Below are 11392 nucleotides of genomic sequence, written 5' to 3' on the forward strand. Positions count from 1 at the left end.
GGATTACCAGCGTGAGCCACCATGCCAGTCTGGGATGCTATTTCTTTATAAATGACATGTCCATGCAGGTGCCAGCCCAGCAGCCTCTGCCTGGAGGCCCCCTTGGCTGCCCTGTCTCTCCCTGGTGCCCATGGGGTCCCTCCTAGTCATAGGGTCCCATTTAGCGAGGCCCACCCAGCCCTCCAGGGAGCCCCCTCCCTCCCTCCCTTCCATTCCCTGCTTATTGCCCATCCCACCTCCAGCAGGTGGGCTCTAGAAGGGCCAAGCTGGCTTTTGTTCCCTGCTCAATCTTCAGTGTCTAGAACAGTGCCTGGTACACAGTGCCTACTGGATGATTTTTAAAATAGATTCTGGCCAGGTCCAGTGGCTCATGCCTGTAATCCCAGCATTTTGGGAGGCTGAGGTCAGGAGTTTGAGAACAGCCTGGCCAATATGGTGAAACCCCATCTCTACTAAAAAAACAAAAATTGGCTGGGCGCGGTGGCTCACCGCCTGTAATCCCAGCACTTTGGGAGGCCGAGATGGGCGTATCACGAGGTCAGGAGATTGAGACCATCCTGGCTAACATGGTGAAACCCTGTCTCTGCTAAAAATACAAAAAATTAGCCGGGCGTGGTGGTGGGTGCCTGTAGTCCCAGCTACTCGGGAGGCTGAGGCAGGAGAATGGCGTGAACCCGGGAGGTGGAGCTTGCAGTGAGCCGAGATCAGGCCACTGCATTCCAGCCTGGGCGACAGAGTGAGACTCTGTCTCAAAAAAAAAAAAAATTAGCCGGGTGTGGTGGCTCGCACCTGTAGTCCCAGCTACTCAGGAGGCTGAGGCAGGAGAATCACTTGAACCTGGGAGACAGAAGTTGCAGTGAGCCAAGATCACACCACTGCACTCCGGCCTGGGTGACAGAGTGAGCCTCCATCTCAAAAAAAAAAAAAAGATTCTAACAATCATTGACTTTAAAAAACAGCTTGATTGAGTTATAATTCTCATACCGTATAATTCACCCATTTAAATTGTGTAATTCAGTGGGTTTTGATATATTACATTAATTTTTAAAAATTGAGGCAAAACATATATAACATAACATTTGCCATTTTAACCTTTTTAAGTGTGTAATTCAGTGGCATTTAATACCTTCACATTTTTGTGCAACTACTACCACTATTTTCAACACTTTTTATCCCCCAAACTAAACCCTGTGATCATCACACGAAAGCCCCATTCTCTCCTTTCCCAGTTCCTAATAACCACTGTTCTGCTTTCTGTCTCTATGATTTTGATTCCTCTAGATACCTCATGTACGTGGAATCACACAGTATTTGTCTTTTTGTGACAGGTTTATTTCACTCAACAAATGTCCTCAAGGTTTATTCATGTTGTAGTATGTGTCAAAATTCCATTTTTTTTATGACTGAATAGCAATCACTGCCTTTTAATTGGGTGTTTAGATCATTTACACTTAATGTGATTGTTGATGTCACCTGCTATTTGTTTTGATTCCTCCCATTTGTTCTCTGTTCCCTTTTCCCTCTTTTTTTCTGGCTTCCTTTGAATTAGTCAAGTGGTTTTATTTTATTTTATTTTTTATTTTTTGATTTTCTTTTTGAGACAGGGTCTTGCTCTGTTGCCCAGGCTGGAGTGCAGGGACACAATCATCATTCACTACAGCCTCAACTTCCTGAGCTCAAGTGATCCTCCCACCTCAGCCCAGCCAAGCAGGTAGGGCTACAGGTGTACACCATCACACCCAGCTGATCTTTATTTTTTTTGTAGAGACAGGGTTTCATCTTGTTGCCCTGGCTTCATTATTTTTATGATTTCATTTTATCTTGTGTCTTTTTTTTCATTTTTTTGTTTGTTTTTTTGTTTGTTTGTTTGAGATGGAGTCTTGCTCTGTCCCCAGGCTGGAGTGCAATGGTGCAATCTTGGCTCACTGCAACCTCCACCTCCCAGGTTCAAGCGATTCTCTGGCCTCAGCCTCCAGAGTAGCTGAGATTACAGGTGCCCACCACCATGACCAGCTAATTTTTGTATTTTTAGTAGAGACAGGGTTTCACCATGTTGGCCAGGCTGGTCTTGAACTCCTGTCCTCAGGAGATCCACCTGCCTCAGCCTCCCAAAGTACTGGGATTACAGGCATAAGCCACCATACCCAGCCTCATTTTATCTTGTTCCTTGGCTTTAGTTATAACCCTTTGTTGTGTGTTTTTAGTGGGTGCTTTCGGGTTTACACATCTTAAATTTATCACAATCTATCTTCAAGTGATATTGTAGCACTTCACATACAGTATAAGAAACTCCAGCCAGGTGCAGTGGCTCGTGCCTGTAATCCCAGCACTTTGGGAGGCCGAGGCGGGTGGATCATCTGAGGTCAGGAGTTTGAGACCAGCCTGGCTAACATGGTGAAACCCTGTCTCTACTAAAAATACAAAAATTAGCCAGGCATAGTGGCATGTGCCTGTAATTCCAGCTACTCTGGAGGCTGAGGCGGGAGAATCACTGGAACCCGGGAGGCGGAGGTTGCAGTGAGCCGAGATGATGCCATTGCACTCCAGCCTGGGTGACAGAGCGAGACTCTGTCAAAAAAAAAAAAAAATGGGCTGGGCACGGTGGCTCAGGCCTGTAATCCCAGCACTTTGGGAGGCTGAGGTGGGTGGATCAGCAGGTCAGGAGATCGAGACCATCCTGGCTAACACGGTGAAACCCCGTCTCTACTAAAAATACAAAAAATTAGCCGGGCCTGGTGGCGGGTGCCTGTAGTCCCAGCTACTCGGGAGGCTGAGGCGGGAGAATGCTGTGAACCTGGGAGGTGGAGATGCAGTGAGCTGAGATCACGCCACTGCACTCCAGCCTGGGCGACAGAGCAAGACTCCATCTCAAAAAAAAAAAAAAAAAAAAAAAAGGAACTCCTCGAAGTGCTTCCGTGCCTCCCTTCTTGGTCTTTGTGCTACTATTGTCATACTACATGTGTTATGAACCCACAGCACATCACCATTACTCCCCCCGTAACAATTATTTACATTTACTCAGGTAGTTACCATTTCCAGCATTCTTTGTTGCTTCATAGATCCATCTTTCCATGTGGTACACTTTTCTTTTTTCCTGAAGGGATTCTCTCTCTCTCTCTCTCTTTTTCTTTTTAAGACAGGGTCTCGCTCTGATGCTCGAGCTGGAGTACAGTGGTGCGATCATGGATCACTGCAGCCTTGACCTCCTAGGCTCAAGCAATCCTCCGCCCTCAGCCTCCTGAGTAGCTAGGACCACAGGTGTGTGCACCACATCGGGCTAGTTTTTTAAAAAATTTTGTGAGACAAGTTTTCACTATATTGCCCAGGCTAGTCTCAAATTCCTGGGCTCAAGCAGTCCTCATACCTTGGCCTCCCGAAGTGCTGAGATGATAGGCATGAGCCACTGTGCCCGGCCAAGATTTTTTTTTTTTTTTTTTAACATTTTTTGCAGTTTGGGATTGCTGGTGATGAATTCTTTCAGGTTACATATGTTTGAAAAGTCTTTATTTCACCTTGATGACTCAAGATTAATACTGATGAGAGAATTAATAGTCAAGAACATTCAGTAGTTCTTACAACCATATTCTATATGACACGGAAGACAGAAAAAGGGCTGAACTGCTTTTGGGAGGCTGAGGCGGGTGGATCACTTGAGGCCAGGAGTTCAAGACCAGCCTGGCCAACATGGTGAAACCCCAGCTCTACTAAAATTACAAAAATTAGCCGGGCATGGTGGCGCATGCCTGTAATCCCAGCTACTTAGGAGGCTGAGGCACGAGAATCGTTTGAACCTGGGAGGTGGAGGTTGCAGTGGGCAGAGATTACGCCACTGCACTCCAGCCTGGGTGACAGAGTGAGACTCTGTCTGACAATGGAAGACAGGTGGCACAGCACAGTGATCCCTGAGAGATGGGAAGCGAGTGAGACTCTGTCTGACAAAACAAAACAAAAATACCTGAACAAGACCTGGAAGATATTTTGCCTGTTGTAGAATTCTGTGTTGACGGTTATTTTTTTTCAGTGCTTGAAAGATGTTGCCCAACCATCACTGAGCTTGCATTGTTTTTGACATGAAGTCAGCTGTCCTTTGTTTCTCTGTGGATAATGAGTCTTTTTCTTCTGGCTGCCTTTATTTAGTTGTTTGTTTGTTTGTTTGTTTTGAGATGGAGTCTCACTCTGTCACCAGGCTGGAGTGCAGTGGCACTATCTTGGCTCACTGCAACCTCTGTCTCCTGGGTTCAAGTGATTCTCCTGCCTCAGCCTCCCGAGTAGCTGGGACTACAGGCATGCACCACCAGGCCCAGCTAATTTTTGTATTTTTAATAGAGATGGGGTTTCACCATGTTGACCAGGATGGTCTTGATCTCTTGACCTCGTGATCTGCCCACCTCAATCTCCCAAAGTGCTGGGATTACAGCACTGAGCCTGAGCCGTCGCACCCGGCCCTTTATTTAGTTTTTTAAAAATATAATGTTTGTTTGTTTATTTTTAGAGAAAAGGTCTTGCTCTGTCACCCAGATGGGAGTGCAGTGATGCAATCATAGCTTACTGCAGCCTCAAACTCCTGAGTTCAAGCAATCCTCCTGCCTCAGCATTCCAAGTAGCTAGGACTATAGGCATGTGCCACCATGCCTGGCCAATTTTTTAAACATTTTTTTGTAGAGACAGGGTCTTGCCCAGGATGGTCTTGAACTCCTGGCCCCAGCGATCCTCCTGACAAGGCCTCCCAAAGTGCCGGAATTACAGGCATAAGCCACTGCACCTGGCCACATTGGAGAAGTTTTTGGCCACTATTTCTTCATATTTTTGGGCTCCTCCTTCTCTCTTCTCTCCTTCAAGGACTCCAACTACAGGTTTATTTGGCCACTTGAGGCTGTGCTGCATTTTTATGGTCTTTTTCTCTCTTGCTATGTCCTCAAAGTCACTCACCTTTTCTTCCTTCATGTCTACTCTGTTGTTAATTGTACCCAGTGTATGTTTAAGAATTTGACTGAAGTCAGGGCCGGGCACGGTGGCTCACGCCTGTAATCCCAGCCATTTGGGAGGCCGAGACAGGCGGATCACGAGGTCAAGAGATCAAGACCATCCTGGCCAACATGGTGAAACCCTGTCTCTACCAAAAATACAAAAATTAGTTGGGTGTGGTGGCGGGCGCCTGTAGTCCCAGCTACTCGGGAGGCCGAGACAGGAGAATCGCTTGAACCCAGGAGGCAGAGGTTGCAGTGAGCCAAGATTGCACCCCTGCACTTCAGCCTGGGCGACAGAGCAAGACTCTGTCTCAAAAAACAAACAAACAAAAAAAAAACAAAAAAAGAATTTGATTGAAGTCTTCCATGTCTGTCTTTAACATGCTCCATCTTCCCTCTGCCTTCTTGAACCTACGGAACGTGGCTATATGAACAGCTTAATGTCCCTGATGAACCCGCTCATCTGTGCCATTCTGAGTAATTGTATTGGTTGATCTCAGGATGGGTTCTTTTTCTCCTGCTGCTTTCCAGGCCTGATCATTTTTGTTTGGATGCCAGACATTGCGAATTGTATCTTTTTTTTTTTTTTTTTTTTTTGAGACTGAGTCTCGCTCTGTCGCCCAGGCTGGAGTGCAGTGGCACAGTTTCGGCTCACTGCAACCTCCGCCTCCCGGGTTTGAGCCATTCTCCTGCCTCAGCCTCCTGAGTAGCTGGGATTACAGGTGCCCACCACCACGCCCAGCTAATTTTTTGTATTTTTAGTAGAGACGGAGTTTCACCGTGTTAGCCAGGATGGTCTCCATCTTCTGACCTTGTGATCCACCCACCTTGGCCTCCCAAAGTGCTGGGATTACAGATGTGAGCCACCGCGCCCGGCAGTGAATTGTATCTTGTTGTGTGCTGGATACTTTTGTATTCCTATAAATATTTTTTTTTTTTTTTGAGATAGAGTCTCACTCTGTCGCCCAGGCTGGAGTGCAGTGGTGCGATCTCGGCTCACTGCAAGCTCCACCTCCCGGGTTCACGCCATTCTCCTGCCTCAGCCTCCTGAGTAGCTGGGACTACAGGTGCCCGCCACCACGCCTGGCTAATTTTTTTTGTATTTTTAGTAGAGACGGGGTTTCACCGTGTTAGCCAGGATGGTCTTGATCTCCTGACCTCGTGATCCACCCGCCTCGGCCTCCCAAAGTGCCGGGATTACAGGCGTGAGCCACCGCGCCCGGCCGTATTCCTGTAAATATTCTTGAGCTTTGTTTCACCCATTGTTAAATTACTGGAAAGGGTTTGATCCTTCGGAGGCTCGACCTTGAGTGTTGTTATCATGTTAGACTAGAGCACCTTCTGTTCAGGGCTAATTTTGCCCCTGTCCTAAAACAATACCCTGCAGGGTACTCCACCCGATACCCCATGTGTTATGGGGTCTTTTCACTGTGGCTGATGGCGGCATGAACTACTCTCAGCCCCATATAGTTACAAGGACTGCTCCCTCTGCGACTCCCCTGTGGTCCTTTCCCAGCCTCGGGTGGTGTCCTCACATGCATGGGCTGGTCAGTCCTCGGCTGCTGAGCGGAGGGGACCCCCCTGCCGGTCTCTGGAGCTCTCCCTCTCTCTGTACAACTCTCTCCTTTCACCCAGCTCTCTCCCCTCCGGCTCTTTGTCCTGGTCTCCCCAACTTTTCAACTTTGTTTTGTCAACTTGCAGGAATGGGGACTCTCTTTGGGTTTCCCCTTCCTACCTTGAGGCCTGGCAGTGAGCTGGAGCCACTGTAGGGCTGCCTCCCTCGCTTCCCATCTCTCAGGGATCACTGTACTATGCCGCCTGGCTTTCGGTGTCAGAAAACCGTGTATTCTGTACATCTTAGCACGAGAGCAAATGCAGCCCCTGTTATTTCATCATGATTGGAAGCAACAGTCCCTTAAGGGTTTAATAACTATTTCTTGATGAATGAATGAATGATGCTCCCAGGATGCCTTCACGCAAAAGGCTTTTCTCGCCCTCAGACTGATGACAATTGCCTTAGCACCATGAGGGTCGGGCAGCTTGTCCTCTCTGCCTCCTTCTGCAGTGTCTGAGCCACGTAGGCCAGATGGCTGGCGTGAATTGACCCCAGAAGTGCAACTGGAAGGTCGGCAGGTCTCAACACTTTGAAGGCCCTTGTCCCATGTGACCCTGCTGCTTTCTGGCTCTCGTGGAACAGCCCTCATGTCCAGCTGGACTCCTGTGGCCAAGGAGGGGGCAAGGAGAGGAGGGGACGCTGGCAGTGACCAGCCCTTGCTGGTCTCCACCTCAATGAAGCCCAGGAAGAGGGGCTGGAAGCTCTCCCCTCCACGTCCTCTTCTGTCCAACGAGGACACCCAGGTGGCCAGTCAGCCCTAGACCTGGTGCTCAGAAGGGGCCCTTCTCCCCGAGGCTCCATCAGCTTACTGGGCTACAGCCCACACGGGACTGATGGCACGTCCCAGCCCTATGTTCAGCCCCTGAAAGCCTGCGGGGAGGGTCCAGAAGTCTGAGCTGGTGGAGCCCCTGCATGAGGGGCCTGGGGGGCTGTCTGCAGGAGGGCATCAAAGTGACAAGCTGCAGGCTCCACTGCAAAGAAATTCTGGAAATCTGGGCATTTCTGGGCCGTTTTCCCCGCATGTGCAGGGACTCTTGCGGAAGTTATGGAGGAGTGCTCTGTCCTCGGGGGAGCATCCCAGCCCTGCTGTCTGGGCACTGACACCCTAGATGGGGCCTCACTGGACTTTGACCTCACAGAGGGGGAGGCCCTGAAGCTCGGCCCAGTGCATTTAAGGTGCCTTGCAGGCTCACAGCCTTGTGCCAGGTTGGGAGAGGAGGGGACAAACAATAGTGAAAGAGAAGAGAGGTCAGGGTGCCCAGTGTGCACAGCCAGGCAGAGGGGGCTCTCCCGAAAGGTCAAACAGAGAGGGGAGGCTGAGGACGGGGAGAGGACCAGATTCCTCCACCTTGCTTCCCCCAGCCCCTGCCACGGCGTCAGAGCAATGGCCCTTCATAGAGAGACCTCAGAGTGCCCCCACCCCTGTCACTGGGAGAAGGGCTGGGTGAGACGGGGAGGACAGGGCCATGGGGCCTGATGGAGAGGGAAGGGGCTTTCAGGGATCCGGCACTGTGGCCAGAGCATTGAAAGGTTCCAAGGGCGCTGTGCCCCTTCCACCCGCCCTCCCTCCTGGGCAAGCCCGGGCCCCCGGGTGGGCGCCTCGGCTGTTTGGGATGATGGATCGTGGCGTCTGCCCTGATGCAGCAGATGTGGGCTGCACTTGGCCTCAATCGCTCCCCAGGGGCCCCGATCGATGGCGGCCTGTGCGCGGCCCCAGCAGCCTGTGATGAATGGCTGGAGATTGATTTTCACTTAATTGACAATTTGGTGAACCTGTTTGCAAAATCCCAGGTTGGGCCCAGACAGTCTCGAGGTTATAGTTGGTCGAGTTGATGCTGCTTGGGCCAGAGTGGCAGCCAGGGGGCAGTAGAGGCCGCCCAGCGATGGGGGACCCGGCTGTGCCCGGGCTGAGCTCCCCTCTGTAGACCCAGCAGGGGCAGGGGTGCCAACCCAGATCGGGAACCCCCAGAGAGGTGGGCCCCAGCACTGGTGGTCACTAGGGCAGGTTGGCATCCCGGGCAGGGGTTTGATCCTGGCTGGGCCCCCCTGCTGTGTCACCAGGGCACTGCCTCTGACCCTCCCTGACCCTCCGTTTCCTCTTCTGTGAAGTGGAGCCCACCTGGCGCAGCCCAGTCCCCCCATCGCTGGGGGCCTGTGCTGCCCCCTGGCTGGCACCTGGGCTCAGGCATACCCTACAGCCCCATCTCATTGCAGAGGCTGCCCGCCCACCCTCTGGTCAGCCACAGAGGACCCCACACTGGCCCCAGGGCAGCTCCCCTCCCACCTGGTGGCCCCATGCTGACATGGCCCTGGGACCCCTGCAGATCCTGTGGATGCCCCTTTCTGCCCCATCCATCTTCCCCACGGGCCTGGGTGACACAGCCAATCAGATGAGGTCACTCCCTGCCTAGCCCCTTCTACTTAGGTCCCCACCGAGCCTCAGACCCTGTCCTCTCCCGCCAGCTCCCACCCATCCCCCTGTGTTCTGGGCGCCTCTGTCTCCTCCATGTGGCAGCCTCCTTCCCACTCCTGGGCACGACGGCTCCTGCCAGCCTCAGGGCCTTAGCACTTGCTGTGTTCTGTGGCTGCAAGGCCTCTTCAGTGACCCACACAGGGGTGGTTCCAGTGAGGCATCAAAGCTTCCGTTTAAATGTCCCCCACCCAGGGGAGGCCCTCCCTGGCCCACGTCTCTGCCCCAGACAGGCCCTCTCTCGTCTCTTCCCACCTCCTTTTCTTCAGAGCCCTCATAACCAGGTCAAAGTCTCTTCCTGGTATGTGGCTTGTTTGCCCGCCTGTCTGCTGGTCTGTCAGCCCTGTAACCCAGGGGCACTGCCTGTGTGGTCACCTGGCTCTCCTGGCCATGGCCAACCCAGCCCTGTGTCTGCTCAGCCGGCACCCAGGAAGCGCTCTCAGCACCTGGGCCAAGCCCTGCAGATGCTGTTCCCAGGGTGACATGGAAACACCCTGGAGCTCACCTTGCCACCTGCCCCTGAACTCATTAGCAGGGCCAGACTTGGGAACTGTAATAGGACCCTCGGGTAATCCCCTCCGGGGGCCGCCCCAGACAAAAGCCCAAATTAAGTCAGCAGAATCGCAGGGGAGAGGCCAAGGGGCTGGAATTTACCCACTAAGAGCAAACAAAGAATCTCCCGTCTCAGAGGCAGAGGCTGCTTGAGGTCTAATTTCCATTCCATGCAATTTGACACCACCCAGGAGCCCCTTGGACTGGCCTGCCTCCCTGGTCAACGAGAAAGCTCCCAGCCCATGGATTGGCACCCAAGGTTCTTGGCAGAGCCTCACCATGGCTGCAACAGGGCCCATGGGCCCCACCCCTGCCCTGGGACAGAGCCACAGCTGGGCAGAGGGTGGTCCCTTCCCGTTGTGAGGGGTGCTCAGGGGACCTCTGGAATCTGCCTCCCAGTCTGAGCTTCAGAGGCTGTTCTGAGGAGGCTGGCAGTGGTCTCGGAGGAGATGTTGGACACTCCAGGGGCTCCCACTGTGCTGGGTGTGAGAGACAGGGTGAGAGGGAGAAGCACAGCCTTTGACATCAAGGCCCTTGGCGTGGCCTTGGTCCTGACTCCCCTGTTGCTGTGTGAGCAGTTCTAGCAAGTGGCATCACCCCAAGAGGCTCAGTTTACTCATCTGTAAATGGGGCTGGTGTCCCAGGGAACAGATCGTTATAAGAATCCGCTAAGATGTCTGGGGTCCCTGCTTCTCTTGGGGCTCTGTGGTCGTTGATAACAGTGTCTGATGAGGGAGCCCCATGTATAAGCCTGAGGGTGTGCGAGTCGGGGATGGGACCCTCGCATATACGCTGGCACTGTGGGGAGGGAGGCCATTGAGGGCTGGCACTGTGGGGAGGGAGGCCATTGAGGTGTCGGCCTGGCCTTGCTCCATAGTGACCAGGTAGCCTCTGAACTTGCAAAGAGTGTGTGGGTCAGGGCAGGGGTGGAAGTCCTTCTTTCTGGTGTGCCGCAGCCCTGGTGAGGTCGACGCGCTGTGGCTGAGCAGGTTTTTCACTCCACTGCTCACACCCAGCGCCTGACGCACCCCAGGAGGTGCAGGTGAGCGGCCAGCGTGGCCTGTCAGGCCATGGGCTGGGGCAGACACAGGCACTGCCTCCAGCCCCCTCGGATAACAGGAGAGGCGGCCGTGAACCCTGCTGGGTTCATTACTGAAGACCGAGATCATCCATTCCTCCCATCTGTGGTTTCCTGAGGCCTGGACAGCTCAAAGAGCCCGAAACTCACCTGGAGCAGGTGCTACTCTGCAGCCGGGCACAGGTGCACCTGGTGGACACTTAGAGACATCCCTCTGAGGACAAAATGCTTCCCTTTGGAGAGCAGGAAATGCAGCTGTCAGTTCGCCCCTGGAGTCCTCCAGGTTCTTGGCCCACCTGGCTGTCAGGAGGAATTGCTCTGAATTCCAGAGTTTTACAGGCTTCCTTGGAGACAGCAATTGCTCTGAATTCCACAGTCTTAGAGCCTTCCCTGGAGGCCCATGCAGGAGGCCCATAGAGTAGAGCTGAGGCCCATGTGACAGTGGCAACAGTGCTGCGGCCCACTTTCCACCGAGGGAGGACACGTGAGACCCTGGAGGCTCTGGGGAGTGGGCTTCACCCCAGCTCACTGTCAGCCCAGGAGCAGCAGACCCAGGATGCAGTGGGCTGGATGTGCCCCCAGAAAAGGTGTGTTCAAGTCCTAGCCCCTCTGCATCCTGGGAGTTGACCACATCTGGGAAAGGTCTTTGAAGAGGTGATTAAGATAAACATTTTGAGATGAGATCCTCCTGGATTAGAGTAAAACCTAAA

The 11392-nt window shown here is 52.7% G+C and overlaps 2 annotated features.

Moving 5' to 3' along the window:
• Positions 7080–7731: an enhancer, noted in NCBI's record as "H3K4me1 hESC enhancer chr9:139060941-139061592 (GRCh37/hg19 assembly coordinates)". NCBI's record gives its function as "activates a minimal SCP1, AML or CMV promoter by ChIP-STARR-seq in primed H9 embryonic stem cells {active_cell/tissue: H9 hESC(primed)}" and the evidence as "EXISTENCE:reporter gene assay evidence [ECO:0000049][PMID:30033119]".
• Positions 7732–8382: an enhancer, noted in NCBI's record as "H3K27ac-H3K4me1 hESC enhancer chr9:139061593-139062243 (GRCh37/hg19 assembly coordinates)". NCBI's record gives its function as "activates a minimal SCP1, AML or CMV promoter by ChIP-STARR-seq in naive H9 embryonic stem cells {active_cell/tissue: H9 hESC(naive)}" and the evidence as "EXISTENCE:reporter gene assay evidence [ECO:0000049][PMID:30033119]".

Source organism: Homo sapiens, chromosome 9 (assembly GCF_000001405.40).
Source record: "Homo sapiens chromosome 9, GRCh38.p14 Primary Assembly".
Lineage (NCBI taxonomy): Eukaryota > Metazoa > Chordata > Mammalia > Primates > Hominidae > Homo > Homo sapiens.